At 55.0% G+C, this 24,156-nt stretch overlaps 2 protein-coding genes across 19 annotated transcripts in view; one reads left to right on the top strand and one right to left on the bottom strand.

Annotated features, from left to right (window-relative positions):
* On the top strand, positions 1,523 to 5,135 carry P2RX2 (purinergic receptor P2X 2). Of its 13 annotated transcripts, none has more exons than NM_174873.3 (12): positions 1,523 to 1,736; positions 2,186 to 2,321; positions 2,426 to 2,497; positions 2,591 to 2,666; positions 2,747 to 2,843; positions 3,014 to 3,094; positions 3,192 to 3,330; positions 3,748 to 3,878; positions 4,002 to 4,092; positions 4,222 to 4,287; positions 4,366 to 4,443; positions 4,645 to 5,135. In NM_174873.3, exons 1-12 carry the CDS (start codon positions 1,564 to 1,566, stop codon positions 4,717 to 4,719), a joined length of 1,215 nt encoding a protein of 404 aa, NP_777362.1. In that variant the 5' UTR covers positions 1,523 to 1,563; the 3' UTR covers positions 4,720 to 5,135. The 13 variants fall into 13 exon arrangements, with proteins under 13 accessions (NP_777362.1, XP_016874524.1, XP_005266213.1 ...); XM_017019035.3 differs by having other exon boundaries at positions 4,747 to 5,135; XM_005266156.6 differs by having other exon boundaries at positions 4,222 to 4,443.
* The window catches only part of POLE (DNA polymerase epsilon, catalytic subunit), a 63,581-nt gene continuing 45,933 nt past the window's right edge, over positions 6,509 to 24,156 (bottom strand). For 2 of the 6 annotated variants that reach the window (XM_011534795.4, XM_011534797.4), the window contains 9 exons: positions 21,872 to 22,045; positions 20,761 to 20,886; positions 18,639 to 18,771; positions 16,933 to 17,125; positions 15,411 to 15,542; positions 15,062 to 15,255; positions 8,864 to 9,064; positions 8,392 to 8,517; positions 7,764 to 8,166 (listed from right to left, as the gene is read on the bottom strand). In XM_011534795.4, the coding sequence (XP_011533097.1) occupies positions 7,927 to 8,166; positions 8,392 to 8,517; positions 8,864 to 9,064; positions 15,062 to 15,255; positions 15,411 to 15,542; positions 16,933 to 17,125; positions 18,639 to 18,771; positions 20,761 to 20,886; positions 21,872 to 22,045 (1,519 nt within the window). In that variant the 3' untranslated portion in view covers positions 7,764 to 7,926. Of the gene's footprint in view, positions 7,558 to 7,651; positions 7,742 to 7,762; positions 8,167 to 8,391; positions 8,518 to 8,863; positions 9,065 to 15,061; positions 15,256 to 15,410; positions 15,543 to 16,932; positions 17,126 to 18,638; positions 18,772 to 20,760; positions 20,887 to 21,871; positions 22,046 to 23,770; positions 24,131 to 24,156 lie in introns of those variants that run through there. The other 4 variants (NM_006231.4, XM_011534802.4, XM_047429018.1 and 1 more) reach the window with 4 other exon arrangements.

A 24,156-nucleotide genomic window follows, 5' to 3' on the forward strand; every position in this document is an offset into this window, starting at 1 on the left:
TGTTGGCCTCCCAAAGTGCTGGGATTACAGGTATGAGCCACTGTGCCCAGCCAACAGAGTTTAATTGAGCAAAACACAACTCATGAATTGGGCAGCACTCAGAACCAATGGGGGAGGTTCGAGAGCTCCACTCTGTAATGTGGGCAGGAAGTTTTTATAGATAGAACACAGAAGTGAGATACAAAAAAAAAAAAATCACAATTAGCTTGATTTTGTTACTGCTTGAAATGTTTGCCTTATATGGCATGATCAGATCAGTTAGCAGCCTGTGACTGGCTGAGACCCAGCTATTTGTTCCAAAATATACTCATAGGTTAAGCTTTTAGCTTGTTTCTGTGGTACATTAGGTTGCAGTTTGTTGTTACCTAGAAACTCAAGGCACAGAGGCAGCCTGTTAATTGAGTTAATTTAACAGTTCAAACAAATACTTATGCACCAGTGTTTATAACAGCACTATTCACAGAGTTAGTTTGAAAGCAATCTAAATTCCTTCTTTGGATAGCCTAGACATTTCTCCTGGCCATAAGAAGGGGTGATGCCCTGACACATGCTACAATGTGGATGAACCTTGAAAACATGCTCAGTGAATGAAGCCAGACAGAAAAGGCATTAACCCAGAAACAAATATTGCATTTCCTTGATATGAAATATCCAGAACAGGCAAGTCCATTCACTGAGACAGAAAAGCGACCAGTGGTTGCCAGGGCATGGGAGGAGTGTGGAACGGGTCGTGACTGCTTAATGGATGGGAGTTTTATTTTGGGGTGGGGAAAGTGTTTGGGGACGAAACAGAGGCGGTGGTGGTTGCACAATGTTGTGAATGTCACTGAATTGTTTACTTTAAAATAGTTAATTACATGCTATGCTGATTTTATCATAATAAACTATTTTAAAATTATTTTGTGAAAAACTGTGATGCTTGGGATTTGCTTCAAAATAATGTGGGTGGGGTGGAGGTTCGAAAAGTTACCAAAAAAAAAAAAAAAGAAAGAAAGAAAGAAAGAAAACTCTGGCTTGCAAAGAAGAAAACGGATCGGCCGTGGATCCCTCTCCAGCTCGAGGGCTGGAGCTGCGGCGGAGGCAGGAGCTGGAAGCGAGGCGTCTGCTGGCAAAGGCGGGAGTGCAGGTTGCGCTCGAAGCCCCGGCAGCCGCGGCAGGAACCGGCCTGGACGGGGTGGGGGGCGCCGCGGAGGCCGGCGGGACTTCCCATGTCTTTCTCCTCGAGCTCGGAAAAAGTTCCCACCCGGGGAATCCCGACCCTCCAACTTCGAGACCGCCGGTTCCGCGCTCGGCCCCCACCTGGACCAAGAGCTGGGGCTGGGCTGCCGCGCCCCCGGCTCTGTCCCCGCGAGGCCCCGCTCCCAGCCCCACCTGGGACACCCGGGACTCCCGGGACACCTGCGGGGCGGGGCGGGGCCGGGGCGAGGCGGGGCGGGCTCGAGGCCGCACCCCGGAGGCGGAGCCGCGAGCTACCCGCCCGCCGCGCGCCCCCCGCTCTCGGTGCGCAGCGGGGCCGACCCTCAGCCCTGCAGCGCCTTCCTGGAGGTGGGGGCCGCCCGCGCCATGGCCGCCGCCCAGCCCAAGTACCCCGCCGGGGCGACCGCCCGGCGCCTGGCCCGGGGCTGCTGGTCCGCCCTCTGGGACTACGAGACGCCCAAGGTGATCGTGGTGAGGAACCGGCGCCTGGGGGTCCTGTACCGCGCCGTGCAGCTGCTCATCCTGCTCTACTTCGTGTGGTGCGCGGGGCGCGGGGTGCGGGGCGCGGGGTGCGGGGCGCAGGGGAGGGGCTGGGATTGGGGGCGCTGGGCTGGAGGCGCGGGGCTGGGGCTGGGGCTGGGACCGGGGGCGCGGGGCAGGGGCTGGGGCTGGGACCGGGGGCGCGGGGCAGGGGCTGGGATTGGGGGCGCGGGGCAGGGGCTGGGACTGGGGGCGTGGGGCAGGGGCTGGGACTCGGGGTGCTGGGCTGGAGGCGCGGGGCTGGGGCTGGGACCAGGGGCGCGGGGCAGGGGCTGGGGCTGGGACCGGGGGCGCGGGGCAGGGGCTGGGGCTGGGACCGAGGGCGCGGGGCAGGCCCCAAGAGCCCCGCAGAGCGGACCCGGGTCGCGGGAGGGCCCCTGCCGTGCCTGCGGGCGGGACTCAGCCTTCCCAGGGTCGCCTCCGGAGCCGGCGCCGCCCCTGCCCGCAGGTACGTATTCATCGTGCAGAAAAGCTACCAGGAGAGCGAGACGGGCCCCGAGAGCTCCATCATCACCAAGGTCAAGGGGATCACCACGTCCGAGCACAAAGTGTGGGACGTGGAGGAGTACGTGAAGCCCCCCGAGGTGCGGGCCGCCCCCTGCCCCCCGCCCCGCCGTGCACCCTACCCTAGTGGGCGGAGGGGGCAGCGGCTGCCGCCTGGCCGACCGCCCCCTCTTTCTGAGCCCAGGGGGGCAGCGTGTTCAGCATCATCACCAGGGTCGAGGCCACCCACTCCCAGACCCAGGGAACCTGCCCCGAGGTGAGGGGATCCCGCGGCGCTGGGGGACCCCGCCTCAGCTAGGCGGGCCAGCTGTCCCTTGCGGGGTCCCTGACTGGGCCGCCTCCACCCTAGAGCATAAGGGTCCACAACGCCACCTGCCTCTCCGACGCCGACTGCGTGGCTGGGGAGCTGGACATGCTGGGAAACGGTCGGTGTGCGCCAGCTGGGGCTGGGCGGGTGGGGCAGGGCTGCGTCCCCGCTAATGCCTCAGTGACCTCTGCCTCCCAGGCCTGAGGACTGGGCGCTGTGTGCCCTATTACCAGGGGCCCTCCAAGACCTGCGAGGTGTTCGGCTGGTGCCCGGTGGAAGATGGGGCCTCTGTCAGGTGCACCTGCGCCCCGGCCTGGGGCCCAGCCTCCCCTCTGATCCTTTTCCCCTGACCAGAGGCCAAACGGGCGGGGCAGGAGTGACAAGATCTGGGGAGGGGTGGGGGCCAATGCCAGGCGGGGGCTTTGCGGGAAGAGGGGACTAAACAACCCTTCTGTGCCTCCTCAGCCAATTTCTGGGTACGATGGCCCCAAATTTCACCATCCTCATCAAGAACAGCATCCACTACCCCAAATTCCACTTCTCCAAGTAAGAGCCGCGGGGTGTGGTGACGGCCCAGCCTGAGGGCTGCCTTCTGGGAATGGGGTATTTGGGGTGCAGGTCTCGCCTCCTGCCGCCTCCTCAGGGGCAACATCGCCGACCGCACAGACGGGTACCTGAAGCGCTGCACGTTCCACGAGGCCTCCGACCTCTACTGCCCCATCTTCAAGCTGGGCTTTATCGTGGAGAAGGCTGGGGAGAGCTTCACAGAGCTCGCACACAAGGCAGGGCAAGCGCAGGCAGGGTGGGGCCAGGGTGGGCTCCCACCTGCACAGAGAGGGCCTGGGGTACAGGGGACCAGTCCCTCCTCCCTCCTGACCAGCTGGCCCCGCTCAGGCAGAGGAAAAGAAATGCGATCAGCGCAACCCATCCGGTGTGGCGCTTGCTGAATTATTGACACTGGCCATGGGGCTGGCTGCTGGCACCCCTTGTGCCTCAGACACTGGACGCCCACCAGTACCCCTGAGCTGCCCCATGGGCCCCTCAGTGCACACCTCACATGCAGCCTGGGACTGACCCGGGCTCTCGAGGGGCCTCTCGTGTGCCCTTGTGACCCCCTTCCCTGGCCTGGGACTGACCCGGGCTCTCGAGGGGCCTCTCGTGTGCCCTCCTGACCCCCTTCTCTGGCTCCTTCTTGGCAGGGTGGTGTCATCGGGGTCATTATCAACTGGGACTGTGACCTGGACCTGCCTGCATCGGAGTGCAACCCCAAGTACTCCTTCCGGAGGCTTGACCCCAAGCACGTGCCTGCCTCGTCAGGCTACAACTTCAGGTGCTGTACTTGGGACACCGCTGTCCACACTGGCATAGCTGTGGTGGGGTCCCGAGAGGCCCAATGCCTGTGGGGCAGCCCTGGAGTGCAGAGGACGAGTGGGCACTGGCGTTCCCATTGCAGGTTTGCCAAATACTACAAGATCAATGGCACCACCACCCGCACGCTCATCAAGGCCTACGGGATCCGCATTGACGTCATTGTGCATGGACAGGTGCCTGCACCTGCTGGGGGTGGGTGGCCAGCCCTGCTAGCCTGGGTCTGAGCTCCTCACGCCCCACCCCTCCCTTAAGCCCCATCAGACGCCGTCAGACATTCTGACCACGACCCCCATTCTCCCCAGGCCGGGAAGTTCAGCCTGATTCCCACCATTATTAATCTGGCCACAGCTCTGACTTCCGTCGGGGTGGTAAGGAACCCTCTCTGGGGTCCCAGCGGGTGCGGGGGGTCCACCAGGCCCTTACACACCGGTCTCTGCTGGCCCCAGGGCTCCTTCCTGTGCGACTGGATCTTGCTAACATTCATGAACAAAAACAAGGTCTACAGCCATAAGAAATTTGACAAGGTGTGTACGCCGAGCCACCCCTCAGGTAGCTGGCCTGTGACCCTTGCCCGTGTATTGGGCCAGGCCCCTCCCGAACCCGGCCACCGCTCCGAGGACCAGCACCCCAGCCCTCCATCAGGCCAGGAGGGCCAACAAGGGGCAGAGTGTGGCCCAGCCTTCCCGCCCCTGCGGCCTTGCCCCATCTCTGCCCCTTCTGAGCAGATGGTGGACACTCCTGCCTCCGAGCCTGCCCAAGCCTCCACACCCACAGACCCCAAAGGTTTGGCTCAACTCTGAGCTCCTTTCCATCTCACTGGACTGCAGACCCGGCCTGGTGGGGCCAGAGAGTCCCCAGCTAGGGACCTGCACGTGGACGTGGGCACCTCAGTAGCGGAGCATCTCCACGAAACGGGGCACCACAGGATCCCTGTGCAAGGGCTGGGGGCACGCTCTGGCCCCAGGCTTGTGCCCCACCCTGGCATACAGCCCCTGACACCTCCTCCCCAGCTGGTCCCTACAGGGCTGCTCACTTCCCATCACCTCTCACAGCCACCTGGAACCCAAGCCAGCTGAGCTCTGAGGGGCTCTGCTCCCGGTCTTGGGCCCTGGGAACCCCACCCCACCCCACCCCACAGGCGTTGTAACCTTGAATCTGCCCAGACTCTTCCCTTAGAAGTCACAACATACTCAGTCCAATAAACCTGTGAGCAGAACCTTCTGGCCTCGTTCCTTGGGGAGGAGCATCGTGAGCCTGTCAATATGGGATGTCAGGCCCTGTCGGCCTGGAGCTGGGCTGCACGGTGACCTCTGTCTGGGTCATCTCCCCTCTAAGCAGCCTGCGAGGTGTGCAGGGCACATGTCTGCCTGCCCCATGACACATGGTCCCCACAGCCAGCCAGGCCACGGTCAGGTCTGCCCAGGCTGGGAGTGCACTGGGACCCAGGCCACCTCCTCAGTGCACTTGCTTCTGACAGGGCCACCCCAGACTCCAAACCAAAGCTGGCTCATCTCAAAATGTGGGAGGACAGCATGACTCAGGAAGAGAGAAATAGGAGGGAGGCCGGGACAGCTGCACACAAGGAAAACGAAAGCTCAGACTACAGCAGTGCTCAGACCAGTGTTCATTCCTACTCCATGGGAGGGGGCAGGAATGCCGAGATGGGAAGTCAGGCCAGGCGGGGGTGGAAGGACACCAGCCCGGGAGCCAGCACTAACTGCATCAGGGCCTGGGGGTAATCTGGTTACTGCATCCTCAGATGCTGCAGTGGTTAGACTGGTGCCCACTGGGTGGGGGGAGGAGCCCAGAACAGCGTCATGATGTCACCTGTGCCAGTGACAGATGACATCCTGCCTCTGAAGGGAAACCCAGTCTCAGGAGAGCAACACCACGCCCAAAGGTCAAAGAGCGGAGAAGGGCGGGTAAGACGACCCTGGTCTGACCCTAAAGCCTGAGTTTGGAGGTCTCAGCACAACTCCAGAGTCCTCATCCCAGCGCTGTGTTCAGGTGGCGAGAACATGTCTTCCGTGGGCCCCATTTCCCTTGACTGTGGCCTCCCAGCCTCGGGCATCGGCCTCAGGTCACCCCACGGCCTGCACATGCTGTGTGGCTCACAAATATCCAGCTCATTTTTGGAGAAACTGGCTCTTCTGGTTGAGCCGCTGCTTGGGAACCAGGGCCAGAGCTTCCCGTTTCTGACCCCTCCACCACTACTCAAATGCCCGCAGCTAGCCTCACAGTGAACCCAGGCTGACTGGCGCCCACGGCTGCACCGGGCGACCCCTGGTCCTGCTAGGTGGCCTTCCTGGGGGACGAGCGGCTGTCCCCTGGCCCCATCACTCCTCATTCCTGAGGGTTCTCCAGATTCGCTTCCAGGAATGAAGCCTAGTCAGCCAGCCTCCCTCCTCCCCTGCTTGCCCTAATTTGATTTGATCTCCACTCTGGAGGCCTCAGCACTCCTCCATCTGAGCAGGCATCAGGTTTCTCCAGGCAGGCGGCCCCAGCAGCATCCAGGGGCCAAACACGTGCCCAGTGGTACCCAGTCCCCGATCTGAGGCGCTCTGCACAAATACACAGTGACAACCTAGAGAAACTTCAGTATGAAATACAAATAAAAACAAAGTGTAGCAGCGATGGCCTCAGACAGTAGATGGCAGGGACAAACTAAGGCTGGCTCTGGGCCAAAGACACGAGCCTCCTGGGGAGCCTGTGGGGCCCCCTCCCTCCTGTGAGGCTCTCGTCTGGGGTGTCTGCATTTCTGATTTACATTTCATACTTGTTTGGTGCCCTGTGAAATTGGCCTTTCTTCTTTCTGCTTCCAGCTGGTCCTGTGTGGAGGTGAAGGACAAGGGCTGCAGTGAGCCAAAAGTGAGGTGCACAGAGGTCTTGTTTTCCTGAGGCTGATAGAGGGTTCCCTCTAGACCCGGCTCCAAATAAGCAGGGCTCACAAGCCAAAATCCAGATTCTCACGGGTTAGGGTCTGGATTCCTGGGGAAACCAGCCCACAAACTGCTCCTGTGAGGCTGTGGGGCCAGCCCATTTCTCCATGCAAACAGGTGAGACTCCAGCCCCACCAGGGCCTTGGGAACCCGTCTCGTCTCAGAGCCCAATCTCAGGGAGCCAGAAGCCCCCAGGGGCTTTTCCTCCCTCTGGGAGGCAGGACAAAGAACTAGGGGCACCTAGAGGACGCTCCCACCCCACCAGGTGTGGTGCAGGAAGCAACAGAGGCCTGGAAAAGCATTCACTGCGTGAGAAACGGCGCCCAGGGCACTCGCAGCCTCGCTCACGGCCTGCTTCTTCAGGTGCTCTGGCGAGGCCAGGGCCACATCCTGCTCCCGCTCCCTCCTGTGACGTCTGAGCTCCCTGAAAATGGTTTTCTTTGGTTTCCTCCCCGTTCCCTGGCCTGGGGTCACAGGTTTGGACAGTCAGGGTGGTCAGTGGTCTGGTCACTGGAAGCACGGGGATGTGGCCTTGGCATCAGGAGGCCTGGCACGGACGCAGAGGCACCCGGGGCCCGGGGCTGGCTAATGGCCCAGCTGTGGGTTCTTCTGCAGCAGCCACTCCAGGGTCTCCAGGAGGTACGACATGCCGTAGTGCTGGGCAATGTTCCGGAATATTCCGATCTGTTCCATGAAGACCTGCAGGAATAAACAGGCACAGTGAGACCCCAGTCCACTCAGAGAGGAGGCCAAGGAGGCCAGGCTGAGCCGAGGCAGATGAGGGAGAGCCCACCTGGGTGTGGATGGTGAGGGCGAAGTCTCCCGCGCAGCTGCAGTACACAGGCATGCTGGTCTCCTTCACCCCGCGGCACTTCAGGCAGACCTGAAAGGGAGCAGCCCCGATGGGCGCCAGCCCTCCCGCGCTGGCCAGACCTGCCTGCTGCTTCTTCACAGGCTCGCGAGACACATTCGTGGGCCCATCAGTAAGCCTCGAGCCCCTGCTGTGTGCAGCCAGCCCTCGGTTATGAGTAAAATGCACGACCTCATCCCACGGTGCCAGCGCCTTCCCTACACCCACCCTCGCTGTGGATGTTCCACCCCAGATGCCCAGTCCTGAGGCCTCCTCCAGGCCCTGCTCACTCCCTCCATCCTGCAGGCCTGAACGCCGTGCACCACCACACGGCAGCTTGGCGCGTCCCCCAGCCTCTGCTCAGATGCCCCTCGGCAAGACCTTCCTGTGGCCGAGCTGTGCAACTCCCTCTTCCTCCTTTCCTTCTCTTCACACTTGGGAGTGTCTGCCTCCTTCCGCTAGAACGAAGCACCCACAAGGCCAGCTCTTGACCCAAGGCAGGTGCTCAACCAGTGTGGACAGAACAGTCCATCAGGCTCAGGGCATGGACTGGTCTGCAGGGCAGGCCCCTTGGAAGACACCAGGGCGTGCCTCAGGACCTGCACACACCCCGGCTCCCGGGAGTGCACAGAAACCCCCCTGTGGACTCCAGGGCACACGGGCAGGCGGCATGCACGACTCACCAGGTCCTGCAGGGTGAAGGCCATCAGCTTCTTCTGTAGAACTTCCACCAGCGTCATCTCGATGGCAGAGGAGTCGTAGGGCGCCTGACAGTTGGAGCAGAGCCACTGAGGCAGGACCGCCCCATCCTAGGCAGAGCAAGAGTGCGAGAGGTCACCAGCCCAGCCTCCAGACCACAGTGCCATGGGCAGGATCTCAGGAGAGGAAGGGGCTGTGAGAAGCGCCTGGTGACGGGCGAGTCTCCTGAGTGCAGCTGCACGCACTCTGGCCTCCCACCTGCACTTGAGCCCTTCCTAGGACAACATTCCGAACATGGTGTGGGGAGGCCTGGGAAGGGGCCTGTTGCCAATCCATGTGAGTCAGAGGGGCAGCAGGTGTGACCCACAGAGCTGGAGCTGCAGAAGCCCTCAAGACACCGCAGTGCCCTCGGATGTTCTGCTCCACAGTGAAGGGCCCGCTGGAGCTCAGCCGCACCTCTGAGAAGGAAGAGTCTTTACACAGGTCCAGGTCGCGGCAGAAGTTACAGCTGCGGCAGATGACCTCAGGAAGCACGTAGGAGCGGCAGGGGTCTCGGAACTGGGCCTCCTCGGAGAACTCGCCGACATCCACCAGGCGAAGCAGGTCTCGGTTCAGCTTATTCACCTGGTTTGTGATGTTGGTGTCCAGGGACAGCACCTGCAGAGACCACAGCCCACATCGGGAAGGAGCTCCCGGGGCCTCCCTGCTGCTCTGTCTGGACCAGAACCCTCTGGACCTTAGGCTACAGTTTCCTGGTGTCCTTTCCTCCCTTCCTTAGTCCCTTTAGACGCCTCAGCTGACTTCTCTACATTAGCAGTTTTCCATCGGTGAGGACAGGCTTCCCTGGGGAATTTACTAAACATTTAAGGAAGAAATGCTGCTGATTCTACACAGTATCTTTCAAAACACTGAAGAGAGAGAGCACTCAACCCATTCTATGAGGCCAGCATCCCCTGATACTAGAACCAAAGACCGTACTAAGAAACTACAGACCAATAACAGCCTGAGCACAGACACAAAAATGCGCAACGAGATATTAGCAAATTGAATGCAAGATCGAAAAAAAGAATACATAATCCAGAAAGAGACTCACATAGATAAGGTTACTAAGTTATGGAAAAAGGTACAAAGATGATTCGATAGAAAAAGAATAGTCTTTTCAACAAATGGTTCTTGAATACAAGCGTATCTTGGAGATATGGCAAGTTCGGTTTCAAACCACCTCAATGGACTAACATCACAATAAAGCAAATCACACAAATTATTTGGTTTCTCAGTGCATATAAAAGTTACATGATTTTTGGCTCACGCTTGTTTTCTCAGTACATATAAAAGTTACGTGATTTGTGGTGGCTCACGCCTGTAATCCCAGCACTTTGGTAGGCCAAGGCAGGTGGATGGCCTGAGGTCAGGAGTTCAAGACCATCCTGGCCAACACAGTGAAACCCCATTTCTATTAAAAATACAAAAATTGGCTGGGCATGGTGGCGGGTGCACCTGTGATCCCAGCTACCTGGGAGGCTGAAGCAGGGAATCGCTTGAACCCAGGAGGTGGAGGTTGCAGTTAGCCAAGATTGCACCACTGCACTCCAGCCTGAGTGACAGAGTGAGACTCCATCTCAAAAAAAAAAAAAGCTATGTGATTTTTTTTATTTTGGGACAGGATTTCACTCTGTCACCCAGAATGGACTGCAGTGGCACAATCATGGCTCACTGCAGCATTGACCTCTTGGGGCTCAATTGATCCTTCTACCTCAGCCTTCCCAGTAGCTGGGACGACAGGCATGCGCCACCATGCCCAGGTAATGTTTGTAATCGTTGTAAAGATGGGTTTTGCCATGTTGCCCAGGCTGGTCTTGAACTGCTGGGCTCAAACAGTCAACCCACCCTGACCTCCCAAAGTGCTGGGATTACAGGTGTGAGTCACTCTACCCAGACAAAACTTAGGTTTACCCTATACTGTAGTCTATTAAGTGCATAACAGCATTATGTCTAAAAAACAATGTATGTACCTTAATTTTAAAATGTTTTATTGCTCAGAAATATTAACGATCATCTGAGCCTTCAGTGAGTCGCAATCGTTTTGCTGGTGGAGGGTCTTGCCTCAATGTAAACGGCTGCTGACTGATCAGGGTGGTATTGCTGAGAGTTGGGGTGGCTGTGGCAATTTCTTAAAACAAGACAACAATGAAGTTTGCTGCATCAACTGACTCTTCCTTCCATGAAAGACTCTGTAGCATGTGATGCTGTTTGATAACATTTCACCCACAGTAGAACTTCTTTCAAAATTGGAGTCGGTCCTCTCAAATTCTGCTGCTGCTTTGGCAACTAAGTTTATGGAATATTCTCAATCCTTTGTCATTTCCACAATGTTCACTTTCATCTCAAGAAACTACTTTTTGGCCAGGTGCGGTGGCTCACGCCTGTAATCCCAGCACTTTGGGAGGCCGAGGTGGGCAGATCACAAGGTCAGGAGATCGAGACCATCCTGGCTAACATGGTGAAACCCTGTCTCTACTAAAAATACGAAAATTAGCCAGGTGTGGTGGCGCTTGCCTGTAGTCCCAGCTACTCGGGAGGCTGAGGCAGGAGAATGGCGTGAACCTGGGAGGGAGCTTGCAGTGAGCCAAGATCGCGCCACTGCACTCCAGCCTGGGCGAGAGTGCGAGACTCCATCTTAAAAAAAAAACTACTTTTTTGGGCTGGGCGTGGTGGCTTGTGCCTGTAATCCCAGCACTTTGGGAGGCCAAGGCGGGTGGATCACCTGAGGTCAGGAGTTTGAGACCAGCCTGACCAATATGGTGAAACTCTGTCTCTATTAAAAATACAAAAATTAGCTGAGCATTGTGGCGGGCACCTGTAATCCCAGCTACTTGGGAGGCTGATGTAGGAAAATCACTTGAACCCAGGAGGCGGAGGTTGCAGCGAGCCAAGACCGCACCACTGTATTCCAGCCTGGGCGACAGAGCAAGGAGGCTCCATCTCAAAACAAAACAAAACAAAACAAAACAAAACAAAACAAAACAAAAAACTACTTTACTGCTCATCCATGAAAAGCCACTCTTTATCTGTTAAATTTTGTCCTGAGATTGCAGCAACTTGGTCACATCTTCAGGCTCCACTTCTAATTCTAGTTCCCTTGCTGTTTCCACCACATCTGCAGTCACGCCTCCCACAATAGTCTTGAATCCCTCAAAGTCATCCATGAGGGTCAGAATCAACTTCTTCCACACTCCTGTTAATGTTGATATTTTGACCCCTTCTCCCATGAGTCACAAATGTTCTTAATGGCATCCAGAATGGTGAATCCTTTCTAGAAGGTTTTCAATTTACTGTGCCCAGTTCCATCAGGGGAATCACTATCTATGGCAGCTATAGCCTCATGAAATATATTTTTAAATAATAAACGTTGAAAGTCGAAATTGCTCCTTGATCCATGGGCTGCAGAAGGGATGCTGTGTCCGCAGGCATGAAAGCAACATTCATCTCCTTGTACGTCTCCATCAGAGCTCTTGGGTGACCAGGTCCACTGTCAATGAGCAGTACTATTTTGGAAGGAATCTTTTTCTGAGCTGCAGGTAGTGGCCTTAAAAGACTGAATGAGCAGTGGCTTCGACTTAAAGTCACCAGCTGCATCTGCCGCTAACAAGAGTCAGCCTTTCCTCTGAAGCCAGGCTCTGAGGCCTCCTCTCTAGCTATGAAAGTCCTAGATGGCATCTTCTTCCAAAAGAAGGCTGTTTTGTCTACACGGAAAATATGTTGTCAGTGTAGCCACCTTCGCCAATGATCCCAGACAGATCTTCTGGAGAACTCGCTGCAGCCTCTCCACCCGCACCTGTTGCCTCATTTGCCCTTTTATGTTACTGGGACGGCTTCTCTCCCTAAACCCCATGAACCAACCTCCGCCAGCTTCAAGCTTTCCTTCTACAGCCTCCTCAGCTCTCAGCCTTCATGGAACTGAACAGAGTGAGAGCCTTGCTCTGGATTAGGCTCTGGCTTGAGGGGATGTTATATCTGGTTTGATCTATCCAGACTCAACTTTCTCCATATCAGCAACAGGATGCTTCACTTCTTTATCTTTCATGTGTTCACTGGAGGAGCACTTGTAATTTCCTTCAAGAACCTTTCCTTTGCAGTTGACTTGGCTAACTGGTGTGAGAGGCCTAGCTTTCAGCCTGTCTCGACTTTCAACATGCCTTCCTAAGTTTAGCCATTTCTAGCTCTTTATGTAAAGTGAGAGACGTGTGACTCTTCCTTTCACTTGAACACGTAGAGGCCATTGCAGGGCTATTAACTTACCTAATTTCTATAGTGTTGTGTCACCGGGACTGGGGAGGCCCAAGGAGAAAGGGCGAGATGGCAGAATGGCCCGTGAGTGGAGCAATCAGGACACACACAACATTGATGAAGCTCATTGTCTTCTATGCGCACGGTTCATGGCGCCCCAAAACAATTGCCATAGAAGCATCAAAGGTTATCACGGCTGATATAATAATAGTGGAAAAGTCTGAAATATCCTGAGAGTTACCAACATGTGACACAGACACAGTGAGCACATGCTGTTGGAAAGATGAGACTTGCTCAAGACAAGATTCCCACAAACCTTCCATTTATAAAAATACAGGTAACCGCTTCGAAGCACAATAAGACAGGATATGCCTGCAATCAGATATCCCATGCAGAAATATGGACTTGGATCTACAGCATGCACATTGTATAAAAATTAACTCAAATGGATAAAACCTAAAACTTCACCAAAGAGGACAGACACCAGGACAGCAAAGAAGCCCATTAAAAAATGCCCCACAGCCAGGCGTGGTGGCTCACGCCTGTAATCCCAGCACTTTGGGAGGCCGAAGCAGGTGGATCACTTGAGGTCAGGAGTTCGAGACCAGCCTGGCCAACATGGTGAAACTCCGTCTCCACTAAAAATACAAAAAATTGGGGGGGCGTGGTGGCAGGCACCTGTAATCCCAGCTAACCAGGAGGCAGAGGTTGCAGTGAGCTGAGATCGCGCCACTGCACCCCAGCCTGGGCAATGAGAGTGAATCTCCATCTCCAAAAAAAAGCTCCACATCATTAGTCGCCAGGGAAATGCAAATCAGAAACACAATGCGATACCACTACACACCTACTGGAATAGCTGCAATTTAAAAACCCAATGATACCAAGTCCTGGTGAGGATGTGGAACAGCAACTCTTGCCACACACTGCTGAGGAGACCCTGACACGGTGCAGCCACTTCAGAAAAGAGTTTGGCAGTTTCTTATCAAGTTAAACAAACACTTAAAAAATGACCTCAGAGAATTGAAATTTATGTTCACACAAAAACCTACACCTACAGAATGTTTACAGCAGCTTTGTTATTAATCACCCCAAAGTGAAAGCAACGCAAATGTCCTTCCACCAGTGAATGAAAAGCAAGCTGTGGTTTGCCCACACAATGGACACTGCTCGCAACAGAAAGGGAGTTCTGATACACACGAGCGCGTGGATGAACCAATTCCAGGTGTGTTTTGCTAAGAAGCCACATCCAAAAGGCTGCACAATGTCTCTACTTATGTGACGCTCTAGAAGAGAAAAAAAATGCAGGGACGGAAGACACACCAGTGGCTAAAGGGTGTCAGGTGAGGAGGGCAGTGCGGGGAATGTTTTCGGGCGGTGACTATCCTGTATCCTGCTGATGATGATGCAATTCCATTCACCTAGGAAAAATCACAGAACTGCACGCCACAGAGTACATTTTACTGTATATAAATTACACCTTAATAAAAATGAATTTAAAATATGTAAAAGTCAATAAAGGAATTAAAATGGTGAGCTAAAAACACTTCTTCACCACAACCAGACCTTGAGGCTGTCACCTGATCTCCAGCGTAACCTTAGCCGTGTGTGAGATGCAGTTTGCTGGGAAGGCTGAGTGAGGAAATGGACAGTGAAGCACTCTGCTCTGTAAGGGCTGACACCCGCGGTCGTTATCTGGTAATATTATCCCTCCTTGGACTCAGCCTGCCTTTCCCAGAAAGGCCTCAGCATCCGAGCAAGCTCTCATCTCATCAGCTCTGGGTCCTGGTCCAGCCTACTGGTCTCCGGTGACCCATCCTCCCAGCCGGTGGCACTGGGTGTTCGGCTGTGCCTTCACCAACACACCAAGCTCACCCCCCAGGGCCTTTGCGTCTTCCCTCCTCCTGCACCTGGTCCCAGCGCCCCTCACAGGCTCCATCCCCACAGCACCTGCGCCTCTGAACGGCCCTCTCCCTTCTCGGGTCGGCTGGCAGCAGACAGGCCCCACAAGGCAGGACCTTTCCTGTCTTGCTCACACCTGAGCACAGATGCCGCAACTGTGGCTGCATGTGACAGGGACATGATAAATGTTGGTGGAATGAACAAGTAACTTACACCTGCTCCTCACCTTGCACACGCTGGCACCCTGACCCTACACATGTAGGTACCTCCCCCTTGCACAGCTGAAAGCCTCATCCTGCATTCATTAACATCCTTACCATGCACAGGTATGTCGGTGTCCTTATCTTGCACACATACGCTAGCACGTTCATGGTGCACGCATTACAGCCTCACCTTGCACACAGTAACATTCTCGCCTTACACATGTACGTTAGTGTCCTCTCCTCACACGCACGCTGGCACTCTCACCTTGCACACGTATTTGATGAACTCCAGGGCAGGGTTATTGAGCAGCAAGTGGGAACCGGGGAGGACAGGAAACATCTCTGAGAGCTCAGTGGAGTTCCGAGAGCCTGTGACTTTCTTCTGAATCTTCTGAGTGATGGTGAAGAAGCTCTGAGTGAGCTCATTTGCGACATAATCCTGAGAGAAGGTGATCATTCCTGGAAGTATAAGGATGCTGAGGGAGGGGTCTGGGACCTGTCTGGCACTGGGGACCTCCCACCTGGGGGACTGGCACCGGGGACCACCCATGGCACACAGAGGAGTTAGGTCACTGGCACATGGCAGTGGCCTCAAAAGACAAAAGACTGCTCACCGGGAAGGGCTCCGACCGCCCCCTCGGCCTCCTGGGAGAGCTGGCTGGCCCCCCTCCTCCTCACGGGGGTGCTCCCTGGAGCACTGCGCCTCAGCCCGTCCTTCATGCAGTGGTACACGGCCACGATGTACGCTGTGGAGAGGCACACACACCACAGGCCCTGAGTCGGGCTGCTGCAAACACCCTAGAATCTGAGGGGACCCATGGCTGGTCAGATTGCCTCACAGATGAGGCTAAAATGTCATTGTTAATAATTTTATCTGCAGCCTTTAGATGAGCTAAAAGTAAATTAGAGAAGTGAGAAGTGGAAATGAGAAGGAACACTCGCTGACACCTGAGTTCATTGTCAGAGAGAAAACTGTATAAATGGGGCCATGTACACTAAGCCTCTCACTGGGTAGCGCGTGAAAGACAGCTCCCAACACAAGCAAAGGCAGGGCCCCTGGCATCAGCAAGCTTCTCCAAAAACTACTCCGGGCCTGTCACCTGGCACTTACCCTTTTTTTTTTTTTTTTTTGAGACACAGTTTCATTCTTGTTGCCCAGACTGTAGTGCAATGGCGCAATCTCAGCTCACTGCAACCTCCGCCTCCTGGGTTCAAGTGATTCTCCTGCCTCAGCTTCCTGAGTAGCTGGTATTAAAGGTGTGCGCACCACACCTGGCTACTTTTTGTATTTTTAGTAGAGATGGGGTTTCACCATGTTGGCCAGGCTGGTCTCAAACTCTTGACCTCACGTGATCCACCCGCCTCAGCCCCCTAAAGTGCTGGGATTACAGGCATGAGCCACTGCGCCCGGCCAACCCGGAACTTTTCAAAAGAGACATAGAAAGTTGCAAGAGAGAACTGAGAAAGTTAAAGACTCAAGGACAAGTAGACAAAAATATAAAATGATCATCAACGAAGGCCTCTGTGACCGCATCCACCTGTGTGTGCACATCACAACCTGCTGTTTTTACTTAGGGCATTCTTTAACTTAGGGCTGTCAACTACAAACAGTGCTTCCTCGATACACTTCATCTGCACACTAACCTGCATAGCTTGATTTGCAAACTCTAAGCCTGCAGACCCAAACCAAGGCATAGGAACTCCCCCACCAGAAAGTTAGGCCTCACAGACCAGCCAGGGGGCAGCTGACCTGACCCAGGGCTTTATCTTCAGCTACTGAACGTGCACACACACAAATGTTCCCTGGGAATGTATGTGACTGAGTTACCGAATCAGATGGCGGGAGCAGAGCTAGGAAACTCCTCAATGACACGGCCAGGGGCAGCCGCTCCCCATGGAGTTTCCTGAGAGCAAAGGCTGGAGGGAAGACAGTCACCCCTCTCCGGGCCCTCCAGTGGAACATGCCTGGAGCCTGGAGAGGAGGCCCCTCGGCTCACAAAGTCCCAACTGCTGGGCAGGCTCCGCCCGATCTGATTTTCCCTGTCTCCCTTCTTGCGATACCATGGCACAGGAGCCACATCTACTAACCATGAGTCCCTTCAGTGGGGGCTGCGCAGCCCTGGGCTCTGGGCTTACCTGAAACAATCATGAGGAAGTAGTTCTGGCAGGAGGCTGCCTGTGGCAAAAACTGCAAAATGTTCCAGTTGTTTTCCAGTAAATCCTCCACGTTGGATTCCTCCGCCTCTTCCTCCTCCTCCCCATCTCTTTCCTCCTCATCGTCCTCATTTTCCTGCTCATCCTCTGCTCCCCCTGCTTTCTGGGAGTCTTGCTGTAACACATGAGACAACGCGGCTGTGTTTGCACCATCGCGGCCTGGTAGAGGGGTAGGATGCCACAGCGAAGGCTCCTCCAACCTGGGTCCATCTGCCCCGTTTGACCAGAGGCCTTCCTCGCAGTCAAGGCATCCCCTGGAGCCTGCGTGAATCCCCCAGGGTGGCTCCCAGTACAAAGTGCTTTGTGGGAAGCGCCTGGCACACAGAAGTGCTCGTGACCTGGGACTGTGAGCTTCACTCTGCTCTTCCAGAGTTCACTTTAATTGTTGAACTCCCACCCCCCAAGGACGAAAGAACCAGCCAGAGCTTCCCGGTGACTGTTCTCTCCTCTGAGTCCATGAATCTCCTGGGACGGCACGACCCCATCACAGACCCAGCCTCCCGCGCAGCCTGTGTTCGTGCCACGGCACCATCCACGTCTGTGTAGACACCGACACCCACTGCCACCTGCCCTGACCACACGCTGATCCCCTCCTCAGAGCGGTCTACACTGCCTGAGTTTCTACCCTCCCACTTTGTTCTGAATCCCTTCAATCAGGGTTTATCCCCCAACTCCAACCAGAATCGCTCCCATCCAGGTGTCCTGGGCAGTCTTGGCTTCATCCTGCCAGCTCCCAGAAGCGTCTGCGTCCTTACAAAGGGCTTTCCCTCTGACATCTGAGCCCCTGGCTCTGGTACCCACAGCTTCCTCTCAGTCCACTATGAGGGCCCCTGTGGAGGACACAGGCCTCCTCTCAACCCACCCAGCCACTCTCTGGCCACTCCTGCACCAGCTGACCACCCACGTCTCAACCTTGCAAACACCATGAGCCCCAGCCAGACGTGACCCCTTCCCCAGACTGCTCCCGACAGCCACCTCCACTCACCCACAGCCTGGCCCGCACCTGGGCATTTACACACATCCGATCCGCTGGCCCCTTGGCTCCACTTCAAAGCCCACCCAGGCCCTTCTCACCAACCTCGCTGCCCAGCATCTCCCTGACACAGGCACTAACCGGCTTTACCTGCCTGTGCCCTCCAATGGTGGGTTATCCACATGGGGCCAAGAAAGCTCCAACATCACCCACACAGAAGCTCCCATCCCCACGAAAGCCGAGGCCCTGCCCTGCCATGCCCAAGTTGCCTGGCTCTGTCAGCTCTCTGCCTGCATCTGCAACCACTGCTCCACTGACTTGTGCTTTGCCTCCCTGGTGTCCATCCGCTGGAGGCGCCTTATGCTCGCACAACTATGGTGCACTTCATCAGCTCTCGGATTCCCTGTCACCACCTCATGGGCCTCCACCTCCCTGTTGCCCACGGCAAGCCTTGCCATCACCAGGGCTGACGCCACACTCCACACTGACGTGCTTGTCTGCGCATGGTCCCTCCCCGTGTTCATGAGGGCAGGATGCGGGTGCAGTGTCTGCTGCTCACGGCCAGGCCCGCCGGGGCCCTGAGCACTCAGCACTTGCTGCAGGAATGAACGCGACCCCCAAAGCTGGCTCGGGTGCCACACTGCAGCTCGCTTACCAGTCCACAGTGAATACGAGATGAAACTTTTCCTTTGATTCCGCCATAGTTAGATGGATCCATCCAGAGAAGAAATTCCCAGCATCGAGAGAAAGAAATTGTCAGAGAATGGAAGGTCTCCTTTGAATGGATGCTGCAGAGGAAGCATTGAAGACGCTGCTTCAGTGAAATCGACCTTGTTCTCAACTTTCCTTTATTTCCCCTTGTATCTATCTGTACCCTCCACTTACTTAACACTGAATTTGAAAGTTCATTCAGACCACATCATCCCTCAGGCTTCCTGGGGAAATGTGGTAAACGTAAAACTAAGGAGGCCCACCAGGCCCCTGGGAGCTGGCGCCACAAAGAGAGCTGGGTGCCTCCTCGTGCTGGGGATGGCCCACAGGGTGTTCTGCCTCTGCTCTGCGGCCTTAGGTGACCTGCACCTGCTGGTAACCAACCACAGTGCTTCCCACTGCCAAGCTCTTTTAAGCTATCGTCATCCTTGTCACTCCTCGGTTAAGCCTCCCTAGCGCTGACCCAATCCTCTGCACATTAGATCCATTTAAGGAAAAAAAAAAAAAAAAAAAAAAAAAAAGAACAGGCCAGGCACGGTGGCTCACGCCTGTAATCCTAGCACTTTGGGAGGCTGAGGCAGGAGGATCGCCTGAGTTCAGGAGTTCAAGACCACCCCAGGCAACGTGGCAAAACCCTGTCTCTACAAAAAATACAAAAATTGGCTGGGCATGCTGGCATGCACCTCTAGTCCCATCTACTCAGTGGGCTGAGGTGGGCAGATAGCTTGAGCCCAGAGTTTGAGGCCGCAGTGAGCCATGACTGCACCACTGCACTCCAGCCTGGGTGACAGAGCAAGACCCCATCTCCTAAAAAACAAACAAAACCCCAAAAAATGGAAGAATAAACAAAGAAAGAGAGGAAGGAAGGAGGAACATCCTAAATCACAGTTTCAAAATGCAGCTGAGTAGCCCACATCGCAGCTCCTGCAGGAGAACTTTATGTTCTCCCTAACTCTGCTCTTCGCGCTAAGGAAGAATAGCAGCCTGTTTCTCGACATGAGCAACCCCGGCCTCCTCAGGTACAGGGCACCCCTGGAGCTGCCCATGGCCAACGTGGGGAGAGGCACATCCTTCCCATTATCTCAGCCATGCTCCGAAATACAATTCTAGCCCAAGCCAGCTTTCCCAGGCACACAGCGTGACCACTGACCATCAAGGCTCATCTTGGATAGACATAAGGGGCCACAGTGGGTCTGCAGGAGGACAACAGTGCTTTTGTGTTTCAAATTAATCCAGTGCATATGGTTTGATTAGGAATGAAAGTCTTATAAGCTCTACCTTCCTACTTCTCAGTGATAAGGCCTATTATCAATTTAGTGTCAGCCTTTTCTGCAGCGCCCCCAGATGCTACCCCTGTAACCATGCAAAGATCAGACCCATGCAGACTCTCTGTGCCTCCACAAGCAACTCCCCTCTGTGCTCAGAAAGGGCTGCATTCATCCCCAGGGTGAGCGCACCTAGGAGGGAGCTTCCTACTATCAGTTGAACAAAAGTTGCTGGTGGAGATTTTTCTGTTGCTTTGTCTTCTATTTAGATTTAAATAGTGCTGAGTGTGTGAGAAGCACAGCAAGGCCTAGGAGGGAACCTCAGGAACATGGCCTGGAAGGCAGGAAGTCAAAACCACACCAGGCTCTGACAGCTGAGAGCTGTGCACACCTGAGCACCCGGGAACCACACCACTCCACTCGCCAACACTGACGTCTATGAAAAGGCTTACAACGTCAACACTTACGGGGTGCATATATTCAGGGCACCTTGAATCTGTGCCCTGAATATCCATGGGGAAAAAAAGCAAACAAACAAAAATCACTGTGGAACCTTCTTAGCAAAGGCAGGCCACTTCCTGAACTTGCCCAACTCAAGCTGCACAGCTGAGTGGCCTCCGATCTGCTACCGCGCACAGGTGGCGGTAACCCCCTTTTCACGCTGCTCAGATTCACCATGGTGAGTCCTGCACTTCTAACGACCTCCCAGCCCACCCAGGAGGAGAGCTGGCACCTCAGGGGGTCATTTTAGCATCCCTCTCAAAGCCACAGTGCTGCGTCACCAGGACCAGCCAGCCGCACCTGCTGGTGATGTACTCCACGTAAGCGATGGCATCTTCCACACGGCGCTTCTTTGTACAGAGGATGATGCGGTTGAAGTTGGCGTAGATGACTGATGACCCCAGGCGCTTGAACTCAGCGATGAGCCTGTGGAGCAAGTTGAGAGTCCGTGGTGGAGACGCCACAGTCATGGAGAGCCAGAGGGCACCCAGAAAATCCAAGAGGGAAAAGAGCTGAGGGTCCTGAAGCAGAAAAGCCTCCGAGATACACTAGAACCCAGAAGCTAATGAAGAGCAAAGATTTCTGCATGGCAAAAATCCACCACAAACAAAGGCAAAAGATAACCAAAAACAGGAAAAAATTAGCAAATTCTTATCACAGAAAAATGGCAACTTTTTGTATGGAGACAACTCATTCGATATTTAATAAGAGAAGAACCACCAAAACTACAGAAAAATAGACAAAGGACTAGAAGAGAAAATTCGACTTCATTCATTGTAAGAATCCTAAGTTAAGACTGCACCAAGAAGCACTTTTATCCCAGCAGTTGGGTAATAATCCCCGGCCATGTTGGTGAGGCGCGGCCAGGGAAGAAGTGTCCACAAGGGGCCTCTGTGGGGCCGCTCTGGTGAAGTCCATCAAATCAGGATTCATCCCGAGTTACAACACCTCTGAGGCCTGCAAGAGGGCTACGCCCCAGCAATTACCCCACGGATCTATCTGCATGAGCTCATGCATGAAGCCTCTCACTGATTTGCTATTTGTAACAACGGCACAAGGCTGGAGAGAGGCTAAATGTTCTTTCATATGGCATGTCCTCACACAGATCTCCTGACACAGGCATATTTTCACTAAAACAACAAGGCACACAGCAATACAATGTGTAGCATGACTTTGTGCAGGAAAGGGGCAGGAGAGGAGGTGCCACCTAGTGTTCTCTGCAGGATGTGCAGGCGACGCTGCAGCAGCAGCTGCGTGTTTCTCTGGGATCCTTTGGATTGTTATGCTCCACAAACTCAGAAATACACTACTTATCCCAGAGGCACTGGCTGGCCATGTCTCTGGTTCTGGGGAGTAAGGGACCAGCCCAGCTGAGGACGCGGTGGACAGCCCAGGGAGGAGGAGCACTCACTGCAGGAAGAGCTTCTTCATCATGTTGTGGAGTGTGCGGTGCAGGGCAGGGTCATGAAGCAGAGAGGATGGCGACCGAAGCCAGCGGTAGAAGTGCATCACCTGGTTGTCTGCATAGATGTTGTGGTACTGGGTGATCTCCTTCACCCAGCCCACGACCATGCTCTTCAGGATCCTGAAAGAGAAGGTGCACGACACCCTCGTACCCTCAGCCTCCCACGCTGCTGCCACGCGGGACGCTCCAACTGAAATGGGCACAGGTTTTCCCTACACGGCTGGGTCCAAATCCGTCACTGTCGCCTCCCCTTCTCACTGTCCCCACCTTAAGTCACGGTCCAAATTTCATCCCTTCACCCTCATGCCTCATCTGTTTCTTCCCATTTCATTCCTTAAACTTGTTCAGGCTTCACCGCATCCCAAACTCTGTGTGTTCTAAAGCAGGACGGGAGGGCAGCACAGTACAAAGCAGCAAGTGTGTGACGGGCCGGGGACCCTGACAGGAAGGACACAGCAAAGCCACTGCCTAGACATCAGAACACCACACTAGGCCGGATGCAGAGGCTCACGCCTGTAATCCCACCACTTTGGGAGGCCGAGGCAGGTGGATCACCTGAGGTCAAGAGTTTGAGACCAACCTGGCCAACATGGTGAAACCCCGTCTCTATTAAAAATACAAAAATTAGCTGGGCTAGTGCATGCCTGTAATCCTGCTACTCGGGAGGCTAAGGCAGGAGAATCGCTTGAACCCGGGAGGTGGAGGTTGCAGTGACCCAAGATGGTGCCACTGCATTCCAGCCTGGGTGACAGAGTGAGACTGTCTCAAAAAACAAAAACAAAACAAAACAAAACAAAACAAAACAAAACAAAACAAAACATCACCATACCCACATGGCCCCAGCTGGTCAGAAACAAGAACTTAGAGGCCTCTCTCCCGCCTAGCAGGCTGGGCCCTGCCTTCCCGCCACTTCCTTTAAATGGACCATTCAGGCGCTCGCCCGTGAACTAACACATGCCTACACCCCATTCCCTCACACGCCTAGCTGCCCTGGGCACCCTCCCTGTCTGACTCTTCAGTCCTGCCTTGCAGGACCCAGGGATGGAGGATGGCCTCCCTACTCACGGCACCCTCCCTGCCCAGGAGCTGTAAGGAACACATCTTTGCACTTGTTCCCTATTGTGGTGGTGACTGATTTTGTGCCTTCCCTCTGAAGAGGCAGGGGCTGCCCTGGGCTGGGTCTTCCCTACGACACTAGGGGGAACACAAGGCTGGGCCCCTACACCGAAGCAATGGTCAGGCAGGTGGTACCTAGACACAGGTCACACAAAAGCCACAAGGGCGTGTGCCAGTGTAAACAAGTTTCCCGTTCCGGGGGGCCCTGGTCACAGGCCAGACAGCTAGGCATTGGCCAGTGCACTGTACACGCCCTGTCTGGCCCCCTTCACTTCCCATGGGGCAGAGATGCCAGCTGCTCTGGTACTGGAACCCCAATTCAGCTAAAGGATTCCAAAACTGCACATCACCCTACTGAAGAAGCGGGAACTTCAATGGGGTCAAGAACAGAATGTTACAAGAGAACCTACAGAGGTCCAAGTCCCATTCCTAAAACTCCCTTTCATCACAAACTCTTCAATAATTTGGCAAACCCCACATTCTCCAGAGCGGCAGTTTGGGTATCTGCTGTTGGACTCCTTCTACCTTTCAGGCCTGGGCTACTGTCTCTCTGCCAAGACCCTGCTCCCGGCTCCCAACTGCCTCCCTGCCTCTTTCCACCAGTCCTCTCCCTGCCTCATTTCCCAGCTCTGGCATGCTCCCTCTCCCCTTTTGTATGGAGTCATTAAAACTACAGCTGAGTACAGGCTCTGGAATTACAAAGACTTGTTTTTGAGCACCTACCCTTCCATTCATTTGTGGTATGACCACAAAGGCAGCCCCTCTGACCTCAGTTTCCTTATCTGAAAAACAGACAATAACCGCTCCCCGTCCCTGGGCTGATGTGGGGACAGAGGCAGAATGCGAAGTGCTCGGCCCACCTCCTGGTACACAGCAAGCATTGCCCAGCATGAACCACCGCTGGTGGGTAATGCGAGTAGCTGCCCTCAACCATGCTCTCCGCAGACTGATGGCTCCTGACCCTCAACCACGCCCTCTGCAGCAGACCGACGGCTCCTGACACCTAAGTGCTGATGCCTCACACATCATACTCAGTAGAGCTGGCTGGAGATCCCTGTGATGTACCTTTGGTCACATCGAAAAGTGGCCCTGGTTAGAAAGACTCTGTGTGAAGT

Source organism: Homo sapiens, chromosome 12 (assembly GCF_000001405.40).
Source record: "Homo sapiens chromosome 12, GRCh38.p14 Primary Assembly".
NCBI classification, from domain to species: domain Eukaryota; kingdom Metazoa; phylum Chordata; class Mammalia; order Primates; family Hominidae; genus Homo; species Homo sapiens.

What these genes read in the sequence shown, in the direction of transcription:
- P2RX2 (XM_005266154.5), top strand. Translation starts at nt 1,564, where the DNA reads ATGGCCGCCGCCCAGCCCAAGTACCCCGCCGGGGCGACCGCCCGGCGC. An exon ending in TCACAGAGCTCGCACACAAG is followed by an intron (nt 3,331 to 3,747) that starts GCAGGGCAAGCG and finishes CCTTCTTGGCAG; the next exon opens with GGTGGTGTCATCGGGGTCAT. An exon ending in ACGTCATTGTGCATGGACAG is followed by an intron (nt 4,093 to 4,221) that starts GTGCCTGCACCT and finishes CATTCTCCCCAG; the next exon opens with GCCGGGAAGTTCAGCCTGAT.